The following is a 19,478-nucleotide window of genomic DNA, read 5'->3' on the forward strand; positions in this document are numbered from 1 at the left end:
TCATCTATGGGTTTAGCAAAAATCCAAGTTACTTGCTGCAGTCTTCCGGTGAAGCAGTGGGGAGAGGGCCACTACCATATACTACTGTAGGGGTTGGGGTGTGCAAGATGGCACAATCCCTGTGGGGTGATCCTGGCAATATCTGGCAAAACCACCCATGTATTTACCCGTTGACCTAGCAACCTAATTCTTTGAGTCTACACTCTTTCTCCTTGAAGTGTGTTCCACAAACCAGTGTCAATTCACACACTGGAACAACTCCACAGTCACAGAAATGCAGAGATTTGAGAGTCAGTGTTTAAAAATCTTTACAATAATTTGACAGAGTAATTTTATGTGTATTGAATCTAATAACAAAATATTCAGGTTTGTATGTTGCATGTTTTATTTCAATTCATTTCTCTAGTAATTTACTTTTATTGAATTTTACGTAAGTATCCATCTGTGACAGATTGTAAATTGAAAAATCAAACCTGCCTCTTCACAGATAGTTGAGAGGCAAAAACAGACCACAGAGGCACCTGCACATGTGCAAAGTGACTTACGAATGAGATTGTTCATTGTGCCATCCTTTGAAAGAACAGAAAGGCAGAAAACAACCAAATATTCAGAAACAGGAGATTGCCCAAATAACCTAGGGTGTATCTTCACAATGGAATATTATGCAGCTGTTAAAAAGTGTGAAGATTTTCTCTATTTATTTTATTTTATTTTTAGAGAGACAGGGTCTTGCTCTGTCTCCCAGGTTGGAATGCAGTGGCACGATCATGGCTCACTGCAGTCTTGACCTCCTGGACTCAAGCGATCCTTCCAGCTCAGCCTCTCTAGTGGTTGGGACCACAGGCATGCACCATCATGCCTGGCTAGAGGGGCATGCTCTGTTGTAAGTGGAGGGGTCTTGTTCTGCTGCCCAGGCTTTCTGTAGGTTTTGATATGGAAAAATATCCGTATCAAAAAAGTGAAAAAAGCAAGATGCAGAACAGCTTATTAGCATGGTAACTTTTGTGAAAATAAGACAGTAAAAATAAGAACACATGTATTTATATTTGCTTATATTAGCATTGATATACACTAGAAAAATAAAACAAAACTAATCTTTGTAGGTTATCTATAAGTAGCAAAATGGGAATCAAGGCTTCTCAGTAAATACCTTTTTATATTATTTTCATTTGTGACCAGGTAAACATATTGGCTACTCAATAAAGTTTTAAGATTTAAGAAACTTTTAAACAACTAGTTTGGGTTCACTAAAACTCCTGGAAAAGCCCTAACATTTGTCTAACTTGTCGCCTTCCACCTCCTCTCTCCTTCGCTAGTCTGTCTAACATGTCACCAAGCCCCGCTGACCCTACGTCTCGCAAAGGTCTCTAACCCAGAGTGACCTCCTTGGTGTCATTTTCTTCAGCAATGAAATGAAAGGTTGAACTAGATTAGGGATCCCTGACAGGAGCTGGGGTGAATCAGAATCATCCCCCTGAGGGGGCAGAGTCCTGGGCTGGCAGGTATGGAATTCCCAGGTGATTCTGATGAGCAGCTCCCAGGGTAGAAGCTGGAGGACTAGAGGGCTGGGGCTCCTTCCTGCTCTAAGAGTTTTGCCCCAACCCTTCCTCTCTCTTCCCTTCCTACTGCCCCTACCTTACTCCAGGTCTGGAAAATTACAGTAGGATTACTTTTTTCCTGCCTAAGTTTCTTCACGTGTGTGTGAAATGGAATAATACCCATCACTGAATGGCTGCAAGCCTCCAAGGAAATAACAGCACGAAGCCAGAGCACCCAACTGACCCCTTCTCCCCCCACTCCCTCCCTGGTCTGCACCCCACAGGGAATTAGGACCCACAGCACCTTTTTGATCCCCTTATCCTCAGGCTCAAACTCGTTCATACTTTGCTCCTCCCCAGAAGGGCCTAACCATTCCTCTTAGCAGAGACCCTCTGGGAGGGAGATTTGATCCAAACCTACTCCCTTGAATGATTTTTCACACCGTCACTCACATGGAATTTATCCTCAGTGCTAGCCTGGGTCCGTCCTGTGGCATGGGGTTTCGCCGTGCTGTCCATCCTTGGAGCCCACCAACCCCTTTTCCTGACATTGACCCCTGGCCCCTCAAACAAGGCCACAGGGCTGGGGAAGAGGGATTCAAAGGGCAAGGCCAAATCTCTGGAGCCAGACAACCCGAGGCCCAGTCCTAGTCCTCCTCCTTGCTAGCTGTGTGACTCTGGGAAAAACACTTAACCTTTCTCTGCCTTAGTTTCTCCAAACTGGGGATGATAATAACAACAACAACTTCTTCAGCAGTTGTGAGGAGGAAAGGAGTTATTACCTTTAAAAGGCCTAGGGCAGTACCTGGCAGACACTGAGTGATCGACTAGCATGAGTCATTCTGGTGCTCTGGGGAAAGAGGAACAGGGACTGGAGCACTTCCTTTTGCCCTCTGACACTTATGCTGGATGCCCTCTGCCTGCACCTCCACATTTGCCCTGGCTCTCCTCCTCCCTGCTCTGCGCCAGCAGGGAGGTGGATGGATGTGGGGGAACTGCATCCAAGGAGGCCCTGCTTGGGTTTGGCCAACAGAGGGAGGAGAAGGCAGCAGAGTGAGCACAGCTGCATCCCTCAACAGACCAGAGCTCGTCTGCTTCCAGGCTTGGGAAGGAAATTGCTCCCTCTGTCCTCCCTTCAGAACTAGGGGTGGTGCCGCCTCCTTGCTTACCAGCCCCTGCGTACTGCACAGGGAGTTATCCCATATGGTTCCCAAACCCCCTTCCTACACCTTTGTAAACAGTTCCTTTATTAAACTGCCCTCACATTGCCCTAAGTGAGTATGTCATCTGTTTCCTGGGGGGACCCTGACTGATAGAACACCTCATTAGGGATACTCAATGCATATGCAAATAACAGCTTTTTAGCCCTTAGCTGGGGCTTTTCTCTTGTCAGCCCCTAAGAACAGCCAAGGTGCCAGGACAATTGCCCTCCTCTCCCCTCACTCTTTCCCACCCTCCCGCTAACCTGTGCTCCCTTCCCAGGCCTCTCTGCCTCCCCGCCCCAGGTCTGACCACCAGCTTCAGAGCCCCAGGCCTAGCCCTGTATGTGGCCAGATCCTGAGCTCCAGGGGCCCGAATTAGGAGCATATCCTGGGCCTCTTCTCCTACCCTGAACCCCAGGCCTTAAGGTACCTAAGTTCTGCAGCAGAAGTTCCATTCTCATTAGATTTTTATGTAAATATGTCCTCCAACTCCCTCTTGAATCAGTAATTGCTAGATTAATATTACTGTGTCCACCTCGGCCCCAGCACAGCACGTCTGTCTGCTGTTTCAGGAGAGAAGGGAAGGACAGGACATGACGGGTGGGGAAAGGATGGAACAGGGCCTAGATCTGGGATCTCCTCTACTCAATTACCTTCGCTCCAGGTGAGGCAAGAGCAAGGAGTCTATGCCTGCAGCTTTGCAAATTTCAGCACCACTGCAGGTATCATACTGAAAAAAGAAGAGTGATTGGTTCCCATATCACTGGAAATGTTATGGGGTCTGACTTTTCGAGGCAAGTTCTAGAATTGGGAGGTGACTTCCCAACTCCCAAGAATTCCCTATCTATGGAAATCATCTCCCCTCCATTTATGGTCAAAGGGGTAGGCCCCAGCAGCCTCATATGTACCATGGGGTCCCCATCCCAGCCATAGCTGCTTATACCAGGATGGTCATGTGATCAAAACAGACAATTCAGGTCTCTCCCACAGCAATGTGGGTGTGTGAACCCCCAAGGTCAAGTCAGTCTTTATAGAGGAAACTGGAATATGTAAATGTGTGTGGTGGTCATATTCTTCTGTTTTTTGTTTGTTTGTTTTTATGAGACGGGATATCACTCTGCTGTCAACCAGGGTGGAATGCAGCAGCATGATCATAGCTCACTGTAACCTCAAGCTGCTGGCCTCAAGTAATCCCTCAGCCTCCCAAAATGCTGGGATTACAGGCATGAGCCTCTGTGCCCACCGTGGGGCAGTTCTCTGCTACCTGCCATGTGAGCTGAGGACAATCTGAAGACAAAGACCAGTGACAGGAGACAGAGGCATGCTGACAGCTTTCCAGTTCCCTGTTCCAGCCCTTTCCTGAGGTTTAAATACATTCTACTTCCATGAGCCACCCCCACTCCCAGACCCTTGTAATAAAATTTCCCGTTTTTACTTAATCCCGTTGGAGTTGTGTCAGACTAGGAGTTGCCAACAGGCATTGCCTCCTCAGTCTGTCCTCGCCTTCCTCCTTTCTAAAGGAGCCTCTGCTTCATGAGGGCAGGAGGCAACCTGCCCTGCTCAAAACTTTTCCTAGTCTTTCAGGAAGAGGTGGCCCATGAGATGAATGAGGAGGTTGTCAGTGGGGCTTACAGGGACGTGCTCTAAGAGGGCTTCCCTTTTTCCAGAGTGGTTGGCAGATAGGAGGAATGGTGCCACAGTAGCCATCTGCAGCTGGTAAGTGACCTTTAGCCATATGCTAAGGATTGCAAAGCAGATCAAGTCAGTCTTTGCAGGGGAAACTGGAACAGAAAAATATGGGCCCTGTGGGGTGGTCATCTTTTTTTTTTTTTTTTTTTGAGACAGGGTCTCACTTTGCCGCCTAGGCTGGAGTGCAGTGGAATGATCACAGCCACTGCAGCCTCAACCTCCCAGGCTCAAGCGATCCTCCCTCCTCAGCCTCCAGAGTAGCTGGGACTACAGGCACATACCACCAGGCTGGGCAATTTTGTTTTTTGTTTTTTTTTTTTTGTAGAAACAGAGTCCACTGTGTTGCCCTGGCTGGTCTCAAACTCCTGGACTCAAGCTATCCTATCACCTCAACCTCCCAAAATGCTGGGATTGCAGGTGTTGAGCCTACCTGAGTAGTCATCATCTTCTTCTTTTTTTTTTTTAGACCGTGTCTCTAAAAAAACAAAGGACGTGACCTTTAGCCATATGCTAAGCTAGGTGGAACCTGGAATGTTGAAGATGGAGCCAGCTCTGTTCTGTCTACCTCCAGACTCCTTTCCTATGCTTGCTGTGTCTCTCGTTTCCTTCTCTGCAAAATGGGGAGAATAATAACACCCAGCTCACAGCTGTTGTGGAGATGAAATAAGTTATTTTTATCTAACAGGCCTAGAACAGCATCTGCCACAAAGTAGGCATTGTATAAGTGCTATTATTATTAGCGAATAATACAGTCTCAACTAGTTTAAGCCCTTGCTTTTCACATCTCAATTATATTAACTAAATATAATTCCTATCCCATACAGTTTGGTTTCTCATACGTACAACCAAATACTCCCAAGACAAACAGAAATTTCTATTTCTAACACGTCTGTCTGATTTGATGTTAAAATAATTCCAGAATTTCCCCACCAGCAGTGCATAGCCAATCCAATTATCCCGAGGGTTGTATAGTATCATAGAAAGCCCTGAGCTTGGGAGGCTGCTCTACCTGGTTGCAAACCTTGGTTTCATCACCTGTGAAATAAGGTTAATAGCTTCTTGCTTAGAGAGACTGCTTTGATACACCCAGAACTAAGTCTGGTACCGAGTAGGCTCTTTATGAAATCCATTAATATTAGTTTACTAGTATATGTAAAACATATTCCACTAGTTACCTAAGTATCTGTTCATTCATTTACATAATACTTCACTGAGCATTTACTGAACACCTACTATGTGCTGGGCCCTGTATAGATGAGAAAGCGGGGAGGAGGGAGGTTCACAAGACAAAACCATGGTCCTTGCCTTCAAGGAGCTTACAGTCTAAAAGAGGAGAGGAGACATGTCTCCAGTGAGCACAGACAGCGACCCATGGCCCCGGGTCTGGATGGGGAAGGGGGCACAGATGGCCAGTGCCTTGCCCTGCCTCGGGCCTGCTTGGCATTGGAGCTGGGGCAGGGTGCTCTAGGAGTGGGGGAGGGGAGATGCAGCACCAGCCAACTCCTGCTATTTTGGGAAATCTTCAGCAGTGAAGAAAGCATTTTCCCAAATCTTTGGCCAGAGCTTCTCTTGCCTTCTCTCACGCTGCTGTCCCAGTTCCCTGTGGGTTCTGGGTTTGGGGTCACTCTTATGGTGCCTGGAGGCGTGTGAATGCACGCGCATGTGTGTGAGAGAATGCACGCCCATGCACACGCCCCCTGAGGCCTCCCCACCTTGTATGGGACTTCTCCTGGGCTCATTTTCCCAGCACAGAGATTAGGAAGAGGGTTTGCTGTAACAGGGGGAGTGAGTGAAATTGGCGAGTGACAGTGAAGGAGCGCAGAGAAGTGGGGGCAGGAGCCAAGGCCGGAGCAATCAAGAGGCCTGCAGCTACACAGCGACCGGTGCCCTCTGCTCAGGGGCGAAGGATGACGGAGACAGAGGCTAAGAGAGTGTGTATCAGAGCTGAATTCCCCCACAGAGCGCAAACCAGTCTCCCAACAGGTGCCCCCTGCACAACCGAACCCTCCCCCGTTTTCAGACAGGGGATCGCCCAGACCACCCCGGGGTGGGTAGCAGCTGAGTTGCTGGTACCATTCCATTCAGCACGAGGATGCATCGGGCCGGCTCTCCTGCAACGTCCAGCAAGACAGATGCATGGGTAGAGCAGCGGGAAGCAGCTGATGTGAGTGCCCTAAAAGGGAAAAAACGTCCTGGGAAAGCGGGTGACGGGCTGCAGTCAGGCGGGTGTCTAAGAGGCCTCACGTAGAAGGCGGAACTCTCTTGAAGGGAACAAGGGTGGAGCTTCCCCAGCCATCAGGGGCGAAGAGCATTCCAGACAGAGGGCACAGCAGGGGAAAGACTTGGCTCTGGCCTATCCTTGGACAATCTGGAGAAGCTGGTGGAGAGAGGCAGAGAGGGAGATGAGTCTGGAAAGCAGGACCGAGGCCAAATCACAGTGAGACTTGAGCACAAACCTAAAGATTCAGGAGTTTTCCCTCTGCTGAAGAGGAGGATTTGTGGATAGTTTGGGACAGTAGAAAGATGTGGTCAGATCTGTGCATGCTTTGGGAAGTTTGGTGGCAGTGAGCAAGGGGACAGGTGGATTAGAGCAGGCCATTTGTCAGCAGGGCAACTCTAGACATTGGGAAGCTGGTCTTGCACCCAGAATGCAGCTGGATCTCAGCCCAATTTGCAGCCTTGTGGAGAATTCCCCAGTCCAACTGTGGGGCTTGGCTCCAGACAGAAGCAGGGAGAATGAGGGATCAGGCTGGAAGCCGTGTGGCCCACAGAGCTGCACCCAGGCAGGAGCAGCACGGCCACTCATACTGCGGCCGACAAGGAGGTCCTCTCCAGGGTAACCTCACACTTCTTTTCTTTTTAGTGTAAAAAACCATGAAAGGGTGTCATCAGGAAGAAAAAGACAACCTACGACCCTAAAAGATGGGGGCTTGAGTACAAATGCCTGGAGCATATTGACAGCATGCTAGGCACTGTGCTAAGTAAGCTCTTTCCCTGCAAGATCTCACAGCAGCTTTGCAAGAAGGCCAAGAGGTGCCCACATAAGCATCATTCTAGAAGCTGAGGCACTTGCCCAAGGTCCCCCTGCCACTGCCAGTGAAGCTGGGATTTGAATCCGCGACTGTCTGCTGCATAAGCCCACACCCTGGGCTGCTACACTCACCATCCTCCCTGGAGGACAAACTGGCCCCAGCCTTATCGTTGCATTCCACAGCCCTGGCTCCAAGTGCTCTCCAAGCAGCCCTCCCAGTTTAATTTGGTTTTCTGAGTTGGCTTCCTTACTAGGGAGAGTGCTTTCTGGCTATAAATTATTAAGCTGACTTCCTGCTGCACACCAGCCTCCTGTGAATTTGGGCTGTGGGAGGCAGTTTTTCCCAGGTCCTGAATGGCTCCAGAGAAACAAATTCTAGAGGTTCCAGATGGAGAGGGCAGACTCTGGAGCCCCAAGCCCAGAGTGATGACAGCCACCTGGCAGCTTCCCCCAGCCCAGGCCTGACAGCCAGGGGCCAGGGTGGGTGGGAAGGAAGGCGATGCTTCCTTTAGTCCCCACCTCCAGCTCAGTCCATGAGGACCTTTGGGGAAGGTGATTCAGGCCAGTCCTCTTCCCCAGGTCCCCTCCATCCTTGCCTCCATTCAAAGTCTCCACTTGGCTTCCTGCCTGGGAAAGGGGGAGAAAAAGAGAAGGAAAATAAAAGAAGAGGAAATAGAGGGGAAACCAAGAGCAGGGAAGAATGTGTACTGTCTGCAGTTTGGCAGGAAGGGAAAGCATTGTGGGGGCAGCCCTCTCCTGCCCCTGCCCAGGGCCACCGAGTATGGTGGCCCACAAGTGGGCTTCTCCGTGGGGGTGGTGAAGGCATCTTCCCACCCACACATCACTCACCACTTGTGGGGCCAAGCTTAGCCCAACTCAGCACAAAGATAAGATTGAGATGCAGATGCCTTCCCATTGCTCTGAATAGAGCAGATTTGATACGGATTTTCCTCTTTTCTTCCCTTTTAGACCATCTGGGGGACTGGGGCCCAGAGGGAAGATTTGGACCAGAGAGGCAAGGCAGAGGGAGGAAAGCCTTCCTAGCACTTTTTAGCTCTAAAATCTATGGGGGGAGGGTATGGGGAGCCTCTCCTACCCCCACCCCCTTGCCCTCTCCCAGGGGCAACTTCATCCCCTGCCTCTGCTTTCTGCAATCTGGGCTGAGTTCTTCTCTCTTCCATATATTCCTAGAAACCTCCAAGTCACGCATGTGTGTCATGAGTGTTCCGGCAGTCCTCCCTGCAGTCCCACCCACATCCCTCCAGCTGCAATGGGGAAGATAAAAGGAACAAGGTGATGACCAAAAGTTTAACAAGAAGGGCTCTGACACAGATTACATGGTTCAGCACTGTACTTTATAGATGAAGAAACTGAGGATGGGAGGAGACAGCAAGATTGGGCAGGGAGCTCGCGGCAGAGACTAAGTAATAGTAGGATTAAGTAACAGTGACAACAACAATAACAACCATGTTATTGTGTACCCAGAAGTGGTCTATGCTCTTTATATTATGCCGTTTAATCCAAACAATAACCCCGTGAGGCGGGTATTGTAATCGTCGCCATTTCGTGGATGGGAAAACTGAGGCACAGACCAGTTAAAAGTAACTTGCATGAGGTCAGACTGGTAAAAGCTGGATTCAAACCCAGGCAGTCGGGCTCAGGAGTCTGCCCCTTACTCAATGCCAGCACACCACACAGGACACAGCCATTTAGAAAATGACATTATTTGACATAGCCATGTGGGTGGAGCCCAGGCCACTCCAGGGAATGTTTGCAGATGGCGAAAATCTCATAAACATGGTCTATAATCTTCTGTATTTGTGATCATAGAGACTGGTCTTGCTCCTACAAACAGAGTAAGTCAACACACGGTAAGGAATGAAAACAAGAAGAATATAACAAGAATGTTTACACCACTTGGGAAAACAAAGTGTGAACATCGTGAGGGCAATTGTGTAGAAGACAGACATGTGGAGGAAGATGGACCAAATGCATGCACAGAGAGCATGCAGCCATCGGGGAGAACCAGAGCCCTGCCTCATAGAGTAGTAGTGTGGCTTAAATGAAATAAGGTGAATAGCATGTTTGGTTCTTGCCTTGCACAGATTAGCATTACAAATGGTGGTGGTGGTTTCACTAAGGTAATATCATGAGTAGGATTTTGTTTCTTATTTACCAAACATTCTGTAATGTTTTATTGTTTTTGCAAGGAAAAAGAAAACAAAGGGGACTTGCCTACTTTAATTGCTGAAATTAAATGCTAAGGATGTCGCCAGACGCAAATCAAGCTTATCTATTCATTAGAGTAGCCTCCTTTTCCTCCTCCCCCTGGGCAGGCTCTCTCCGTGGAAACATTTCACTATCAGATATTCAGTTGCTGCATAAAATGAAAACTGCATTTGAAAACATGCCCACAACTCAAAAACAGGCAGCAAATCCAACTAAAGGCCTGGATTTTCTTGGGATTTCCAGCACCAATTCAGTTGCTCAGCATAAATCTTTGTGGGGAGGGCCCATTTCTACTCACTTCCCCCAGTAAGTTTCTTCACATCCAGAGAGTTAGTTCTCTGTAATTCAAAGAGCTCCTACAGAGATGGATGGTGGTGATGCTTACAGGACGGTGTGAATGAACTTAATGCCACTGAACCGCATACTTGAAAATAGTTAAAATGAGTTGGTGGGAATGTAAAATGGTACAGCCGCTATGTAAAACAGTCTGGAGGTTTTTCAAAAAATTAAATATAGAATTACCATATGATCCAGCAATTCCACTTCTGGGTATATACCCACAAGAACCAGAAGTAGGATATCGAAGAAATATTTGTACACATGTTCATAGTAGCATTATTTACAATAGCCAAAAGGCAGAAGTAACCCAAGTGTCCATCAACAGATAAATGGATACACAAAATGTGAAAGATATATACAATGGAATATTATTCAGCCTTATAAAAGGAGGAAATTCTGACACATGCTACAACATGGATGGCCCTTGCGGACATTATGCTAAGTGAAGTAAGCCAGCCACGAAAAGATAAACACTGCATGATTCCATTTATATGAGGTACCTAGAGTAGTCAAATCCATGGAGACAGAAAGTAGAATGGTGCTTGCCTGGGGCGGGAGGAAGCCAGAGTTATTGTTTAATGGGTGTACAGTTTCAGTTTTGCAAGATGAAGTGTTCTGGAGATGGAGGGTGGTGATGGCTGCATAACAATGTGAGTGTACCTGATACTACTGAACCGTGGACTTAAAAAGGGTTAAATGGCCAATTTCATGTTATATATATGTTACCACAATTTTTAAAAAGGAAGAGCTGCTCAAATACAGTGGACTGAGGTCCTAGGAGGTATGCTGATGATGCCCCAGATGAGGGGGTCTTCTCCCTGCTCTCCCCTCAGTCTGGTACCTGCTGCAGCCCCCCACACTCCCCTGGGCACACTTACCCCTGACCAGTGAGAGAAGCCAGCCCCCTACTGTCCATCCACACCTTAGCTGTTGGGCTGGGGTATCAGGCGGCCCAGGGACGAGGTGGTGGGCAACAGGAGACGGACTGAAGCCACAGGGCATCCAAGAGACACAGGCCAGGCACCAGCTGGAACCACTCACTGAAGGGGGAGAATTTTGGGTAAGTCATGGATACATGATGAACCAGGCAAAAGAGATGAGGTCAGATATAGGCCAGACTGCCCCAGGGACCACATGGTTGCTGCTGTGTTTGTTTCTTGGTGCTGCTTTAACAAATCACCACAGTAATGGCTTGAAACAAACTTTTTTTTTTTTTTAGGCGGGGTCTTGCTCTGCTGCCCAGGCTCTAGTGCAGTAACATGATCACAGCTCATTGCAGTCTTGACCTCCTAGGCTCAAAAGATCCTCCTGCCTCAGCCCCCCAAGTAGTTGTGACAACAGGTTGCACCACCATACCTGGCTAATTTTTAAAACTTTTTGTAGATGTGATCTCACTATGTTGCCCAGGCTGGTCTTGAACTTCTGGCTTCAAGAGAGCTTCCTGCCTCAGCCTCCCAAAGTGTCCTCCTGCCTCTCTCTCTACAAAGAGACTACAAGCGTGAGCCACCACACCAGGCCTCAAACACACATGTATTACCTTAAGCTTCTATAGGTTAGAAGTCCAATATGGGTCTCAGTGGGCTAAAATCAAGGCATTAGCAGGACTGCATTCCTCAATGGAGGCTCTGGGGGAGAATCCACTTCTTCACCTTTCTCAGTTTCTAGAGGCTGCCCACATTCCATAGTTAAAGCTAGCCACATTGCAATCTCTAACCCTTCTTCCGCTGTTGCCTCTCCCGTGGACCACAGCTGGGCAAGGTTCTCTACTTTTAAGGATCCCTGTGATTACATTGGGCCCATCTAGATCATCCAGGATAATCTCCCTACCTCAAGGTCCTTGACTGAATCACATCTGCAAATTCCCTTTTGCATCGTAAGGCACCATATTCACAGGTTCTAGGGATTAGGACATGGACATCTTTGGTGAGCCATTATTCTGCCTGCCACACTCACCCTAGGGACTCCCGCTCAGTCATTCCCACTTGGCAAACACATTTCTGGCATCCAGAGACTCATCTGTGACTGAATTTCTGAAGAAGGAGTAGCAGCCAGCAAATGGATCCCGGCCAGTCATGGCCACATGGTCTCAGGGAAGAAGGAGCTACTGCTGGAGGAACATCGGGAAGCCCGACATGCAGGCCCGGCGGGTGGTGGAGAGGGAGGAGCAGAGATGTGGAAATGACAGGCACAGGAAAGGAGAACAGGGTCTGTCCCGTGAGAAAGAGGACGGCCACAAAATGGAAAGGGGAGATTGCGGGAAGAACTTCCAGGTGAACTGCACTACAACAAAAAGAAATTCATCAACACCGGCACACAAGGTGATCATTATTCACTTCCCAAAAGGATTTTCCAAAGTGTTCTTTAAGTAATGAGTTCCACTGTGTTCCTAAAATAGGATTTACACCCAATTTTTCAGTAACACATAAAGGGATGCTTGTAAATCTATGGAAATGAAGTGAGACCAGTAACATCTGCTGCCTTGCTTTCTGTGCTGGTGGTGTCAGAGGGAGACAGAAAGAACCACAGACTGGGGTGATGGGCTCAGACTCTGCCCCAGCTTCCCCAACCCCCTGACCCCCCATGAAAATTATCCTATTTAATGCACACACCACCCTTACTCTCATTTGACACGTGTATAAACTAGGGAGGCTAGAGAGGAGGGAAAAGTCACAATGGGTGGCTACAGGTCCGATCTGGCCCAAGGGCACTCTGACCCCAAAGCCCCATTCTTTTGGCCACTCACAGAGAGCAGAGACTTTTCAGGGTGGCAAAGAGTCGTATGTGTGTCTGTGTTGGTCACAGAAGCTGCATCCCTCCTACATACTCAACGAGATGAGCAGACAGCACCAGGGGCTATTGCTTACCTAGCAGGTCATTTCTGGGATGCTAATGAAACTTTCAATTACAGACCAAGCCTTTCCCTCTAAAGTTATTAGAGATAAGAATCCAAACTGGCCGAGTGCAGTGGCTCATGCCTGTAATCCCAGCACTTTGGGAGGCCGAGGTGGGCAGATCACTTGAGATCAGGAGTTCGAGACCAGCCTGACTAACATGGTGAAACCCCATCTCTACTAACAAACAAGTTACCAGGTGTGGTGGTCCGCACCTGTATTCCCAGCTACTTGGGAGGCTGAGGCAGGAGAATCACTTGAACCCAGGAGGCGGAGGTTGTAGTGAGCCAAGATTGTGCCATTGCACTCCAGCCTGGAAAACAGAGCGAGTCTCTGACTCAAAAAAAAAAAAGAAAAAGAAAAAGAAAAAGAAAAGAAAAAGCTGTGATATAAGTGGCTGATTTTATTCTAAAGTTAATAGAGATAAGAATCCAAATGGCCTGAAAGAGGTTAAAAGGCTGTGATATAAGTGGCTGATTTTGTGTGTCGTTGGGGAGCCAGCTGTAGCAGATAAGAAGGGAGACAGAGAACACGGGGCATCGGGAGGAGCAGAACATTTGACTCCCTTGGCTTTCTGGAAATATCACTTGGGCATTAAAACAGATCATATAGAGGAAGGTGCCATAAAAATATTGAACCCTGTTTCTACTTCTCTGTTGTTACAAAGTCCAGGTTCTTTCTACCCTCTCAGTTGGCCCTAACTTTTCTTTCTGGTTCTTTCTCCCAAATGTGTGGTTCTCAAAGTTTCTATCCTCAATTCCCTCTTCTCTCACTGTAGCCAATACTGGGTGGTCTCAGCCTCCCTCCCTCCCTCTCTCCCCAGGGCTTCCACTTCCACCCCTGCCCCACTAGCTCCGCAGATTGCCAGCCCTTCTCTTCCGGACTCCAGACCACCAGGCCGCCTCTGTCTCCATGTCATCCAGGCATCACTACTGCAGCCTGCCCAAAATAAATTTGCCATTTTTCTCCCTTAACCTGCTCCTCCCATGTTCCTCATCTCTGTCATTGGTCCTACAATTTCCCCAAATATCCTGACTCACGTTTCAACATTCTCAGGCTCTCCTCTCTGTCTTCTCCTATAGGCAACCCATTGTCGAGTCCTGGCACCTGTACCTCAGTGGATCCCAACCCCAGATGGGATGGCAGGTGACATGTGACATATGAGCCAAGTATGTGGGGTGGGGGCAGAGGAGGATGGGAGGACACACGTTTCTTCTGGGTAGGACAGCTACCAGCTACGCAGCTCTACTTTCCACCAGCTAACTGTTGCTGTGTGAGGACACAGGCCCAGACCTGCCTATTTTTAAAGAAGATCTGCACATCTAGATTTATGTGAAAATTTTCCCATGTTTAAATGCTTGCAACCACTTGCATTTTTTGAAATCCCTATGTGCACCAAACAAAACATGTCTCTCTGTGACCTCTGGGCTTTGGTCTCTCTCTCCCACTGTTCCTTCTTTCCATTCCTACTGCCAAAATGTCCATGCCTCCCTCCTGGACAAGGGAACCCGCTCTTCCTGGGTTGCCCTAGCCAGCTTTCTCCCTTTACCCTTTGCTGGTCTCAAGGCCCCATTGAACAAATGTTGAGTTCTTTAGCTTCAAACTCAAGGCCCTCCAGAGAAAAAGAGAATAGTGAGGGTGAAGGAGACAGAGAAGAGAAGGCTGCTGCCACTCAGGGTGACAGAGCCATTAATTAACAGAGTTAAACATCTGGTGTTTAATTAACACTCTCCCTCCTCTTTCATTCTCCCTCCCTTTAACTTTCCCAGAGGGGCTCCACAGTGGGTGAAACTGAGCAGAAACCAGGAGAACAGCCTCCTGGCTGAGTCAGGGAGGGAGGGTGAGGAGGCTGGTGTTTGATTCCATGTGCTGGAGGGAAGAGGACAGTAGGGTAGCTTTGTGACTGGCTTACTTCAATTAGCATAATGTTCTCAAGGTTCATCTAAGGACAGACTAGGAAGAAGCAGCTTGACGTTTCAGTGGTAGGGACTGTCCAGAAGTTTCTTGGGCAGGAGCTGGGGGCAGGAGCTCAGTGCCTCGGATTATACAAGGAAGTCCCCAGCTCTCTTTGTGGCTAACATGATTGCCTCCCTGAAATTCATTCCCCCATTGTCTTCGATAATAAACTCCCACATTGCACAGAGTGGCAATGTTCCCAGCCTCAGGTGAGACACTTGCTTCTTCAGCCTCTTTTGAAGTTACAGGTGCCCAGGTCTGACCAAGGAGAAATAAGCAGAAGTCTGCTACAGGCTCTGGGAAGACATTTGTCTTCCTTACAAGAGATAGACTCAGTGGGCACCAATCCCTTTCCTTTCTCCACCTTCCTCCCTTGCATTTGAATGTGATGTCTTGAGCTATAGCAGCCCTGTTTTAACCATAAGACAAGAGACAAGCCAAGAGGGCAACAGAATACCTTGATGCTGTTGAGCCAGTGAGCAAAGACCAGCAGCTGCTGCCACTTCCGAAACCTCTTGTGAAGTGATTAAATGAATCTCTCTGTTTAAAGTTATTGTAGATGGTGTTTTCTGTTACATGCATCCAAAAGCATTCCTAAGTGATACACTCCCTACCCTAAAACCTCTTCTCTCTAGGGAGATAAGTAAGTAACCACTTATTTAATTAGAGTGGGGTAAAGTGAAGAGCAGACATGCTGCTCAGAGCGCCTCCCAATCTGGATGGCCCAGGACCCAGGATTAAGAACTGGAAAGCAGATAGTAGAGTGGGCCATGGCTACATGAGATGGGAGCTCTGAGGGAGTCCTCTCAGAGTCTGCCAGACAGTGGGAGCTCAGCCGACACAGGTTTGTGTGGATACATGAATGGCTGGATGTGCCACTTCTTGGCACAGGTGGCCCAGCGACAACCAGCTGGAAGGAAGGGACCCTCCAGCAGCTAACTTGAATCTCTCTGATTCCAGACCCTTCTCAGAAGGCCATGCTGGAACACCTCTCCCCTTTAGAAGTTCCCTCCTCCTCCCCACTTCCCATGATGCCCCCCACACTCTTATTTGGCACTTAATCAAACCTCCCCATTTGCTCCAAATATGGCTCTTGGTTTGACTGCAAACCCTGGGAGGCAGATACCACTTCCTTTTTCAGCCTCCAGGACCTACCAGTGTCTTGAACACTGAAGACAGTTGATAAATGTTTTCATTTGAAGTTGATGCTTTGGAGGGTGCAAAGAGGTTTGTGACTTAAAGAGTTGCTCAGAGAAGAGCCCCTCCTAAAAAGAATAGTCCCAGAAGTCTGTAGTACTGCCTGAAATTGTACTATCAGACATGGACTACATTGACTAGCTGGGTCACCTTAAGTGAAACAACCACTCTCAGCAACAGTTTTGTGTGATGGGAGTGCCAACTCAGCATGGAAATTCATTGTAAGAATGTTTATTATTATTATTATTATTATTATTATTATTTTTTGAGACGGAGTCTCGCTCTATCACCCAGGCTGGAGTGCAGTGGCGTGATCTCAGCTCACTGCAAGCTCCGCCTCCTGGGTTCACGCCATTCTCCTGCCTCAGCCTCCCAAGTAGCTGGGACTACAGGCCCCCGCCACCGCGCCCAGCTAATTTTTTGTTTGCATTTTTAGTAGAGACGGGGTTTCACCATGTTAGCCAGGATGGTTTCGATCTCCTGACCTCGTGATCTGCCCGCCTCGGCCTCCCAAAGTGCTGGAATTACAGGCGTGAGCCACCACACCCGGCCTATTACTATTATTATTATTATTATTATTATTATTATTATTATTAGAGATGGAGTTTCACTCTTGTGGCCCAGGCTGGAATGCAATGGTGCTATCTTGGCTCAACACAACCTCTGCCTCCTGGGTTCAAGCGATTCTCCTGCCTCAGCCTCCTGAGTAGCTGGGATTGCAGGCGCCCGCCACCACATCCGGTTAATTTTGTATTTTTAGTAGAGACGGGGGTTTCTCCATGTTGGTCAGGCTGATCTTGAACCCCCGACCTCAGGTGATCTGCCTGACTCGGCCTCCCAAAGTGCTGGGATTACAGGCGTGAGCCACTGTGCCCAGCCTTAAGAATGTTTATTATAATAAGCCTTTAAATGTGACAAATCTTGGAAGAATTATCGCAGCAATTATTCACTTTTGAATGTAATCTTGTAGATTTTAGGGTGGTGAAGGACCTTAGATTTCCTCCTCCTAACTACCCCCACACGACTTCTAAACTATCTTCAGAAGTAAGCAAGGATCTTCTCGAGTTGAATTAACGTGGCATTTCCTAGGAGAGAAAGAGTAGCAGGTGCTGTTGGTGCCTGCCCCATTTGTGGGTGGGTGCACCCATCCAGACTGGCTGTTAATGGTTCACACCTGCAACCTTCTCCAGAGGCCTGCCCTTAACCCAGTGCAGACTCCTGGAGACTACAACCCTCACCACCATTCCAAAGCTCTTGGGTAATCACCAGCTGACAGAGGAGTATAGGAGCCCAGCCCCCACATCTCCAGGTGCAATGGATTCTGTGGTGCCATTCATGCTCCAGGGCTCCTCGTGGGATCATGAGATCGTGGGATCATGTAGCCTTGGCCTCATCCTGTGCTCTACCCTGGTTCTTCTGGAGGACACTACCTGCTCAGTCACTTGCTCAAGAATCTCTGCTCAGGCTTTGCTTCTTCCAGGGAAACCTGGCCTGAGATAGGCCCTTAGGCCCTTTCTGCCTTCCCAGAGGAGGACTGAGAAGGAGGTAGGGGAAGAAGTAGGCTGGTGTCAAGACTAAGCTCTGCAGACTTCTCTTTTGGCCCAGGGCTCTGCCCTCTCACTCACTCTGCGTGCACAAGAGACCATGCACCGGGCCCAGCCCTCAGCCCGCCCAAGGACTGCAGCCTTGACCAGAGCTAGCACGTGTTCCACGCTCTCCTGACCTCCCCGGCTACCACCTTCTCTCCAGAAAATGTGCAGATCCGCTCCAAGGCCCAGCAACACTTTCCCAGAAAACTGTAAATCCAAAAATCAATTGGTCTTCATGTCACCACATTATCAGAATTGGGCCCCCAGGATGGTTTAGGCTCAGAGACTCACAGAGTATTAGTGTAAAAAGGGCCTTGGGAGGTGATGTAGCTACCTCCTTCACAGTTTAATTTGGATTATACTTCTGCATCTATGCCACTCCTCTCTCATTATAATTGCGATAATTATGGTCTGCTTTATTCTCCTCTGGACCATTTACACAGGTGAAGAGACAGAAATTCATGGATGCAAATCACCAACCCCAGGCTCTTTTTTCAGGGTTTGCCTCCCTAGAGGCAATGAACCTGAGTCAGAGAGGGACGGTCGCCTTGGGGGTGACCTAGTAGCGGGATAGGATGGGGATCCAGCCCCAAGGTGCTGTGCCTCTTAGATTGGAAGGGTGGGAGAAGCAGCTGTTTGCACTATATGTATCCTACTCCAACGCCCGCCCCAACACTACTGGAAATACATTTCTTTCCAGTAGAAATGAAAGGGCAGTGGAAATCAGGTCAGTTTGGATCTTCCTATGGTTAATAATGTCTCTGTGGGCATCTGAGGTCATCCTGTCCATCCTCCAGGCACCAGGCAAGACACTTCCTCCTTCAGTCCAGGGTAGCTTTACTCCAGCCACATCTCTTGGTGACCTCAGCTGGGTTTGGTACCCATCACTGTCAGGACATTCTTACATCTTTTCTGCCACATGAGCCAACATTCAAGGGTCCTAATAAAGGCTATGGGCCATAAGTCTTGGGGCAGGTCATTTTCTCTCTTTGGGGATCCCCTCTTTTGAGCATTCTAACATCTTCTGTTCACTTACCAATGCTTACGTCTGACTCAATTTTTCTCACCAATGATCCCCAACTTGTGAAATCCCAGATACCAGGACTTCTGGTGAAAATACATGGGTTCTGTGCTCGAATAATTTTAATTATATCTAAGCTTTCTCCTGTTCTTTTTTCTATGACAGACAGTGTGCTAATTATTTTTCAAATGTGATCTCATTTCATCCTCACCATATGGCTATAAAATAAGCTTTACTGCCTCTTTTCAGATGAGGAAACTGAGGCTCAGAGAGGTTGGGTGGCCTGTCCAAAGTCACACCAGAAGTGGCAGAGCCGGATCTGCTCTCAGATCTCTTTGATGCCAAAGCGCATGCTTTTAGTCAGCCTGCTTCCCACCTCCTTCCAGGGATGCTTTGGAGACAGATTCACCAGGAAGGAAGGTGAAGGTGCTCTCTCCTGGCTGTGGGGGCACAGAGAAGGGATACCACCCAGGTCTCCTCCTGATTCCCTGTATCCAAAGCTGAGTCCAGCCCAGTTCCTCTCCCACTGCCCAGAGCTTCCTCCCTGCGTCCTATCCCGTGCTGTGTCCTGGATGCATTTTCTTTCTCTCTCCTGGTCAGTATGCCTGCTACTGCCAGGGCCTCTGATCGTAATTCTCTATTCCAGTGTCTCCAATGAGAGCTCCCAGCTCCACTCCCATTCTGCTCCACCTCATGGACATCACAGCCCCTAGGTCACTCCAGCCTTCCTGGCACCCACCTGCATTGATATTTCTGTGTCCCACTCACTGCTGCGGGTGTTGAAGTCACTGGCCCC

General features: G+C 48.5%; 1 protein-coding gene across 17 annotated transcripts in view; it reads right to left on the minus strand.

The window, feature by feature from the left end:
- Positions 1 to 19,478, minus strand: part of SEMA5B (semaphorin 5B) — a 119,524-nt gene that overhangs the window by 41,152 nt on the left and 58,894 nt on the right. For 11 of the 17 annotated variants that reach the window (NR_046079.2, NM_001031702.4, XM_047448346.1 and 8 more), the window contains exon 2: positions 10,907 to 11,068. The exons of the other annotated variants lie outside the window; for them this stretch is intronic. Coding sequence is in view for 10 of the 11 variants with exons in the window: in NM_001256347.1 (NP_001243276.1) it covers positions 10,907 to 11,068 (162 nt within the window). In the remaining variant the exon portion in view is untranslated. The remainder of the gene's footprint in view (positions 1 to 10,906; positions 11,069 to 19,478) is intronic. 17 annotated transcript variants of the gene reach the window in all.

The sequence above is a fragment of the Homo sapiens genome, chromosome 3 (assembly GCF_000001405.40).
Source record: "Homo sapiens chromosome 3, GRCh38.p14 Primary Assembly".
NCBI classification, from domain to species: Eukaryota; Metazoa; Chordata; class Mammalia; order Primates; family Hominidae; genus Homo; species Homo sapiens.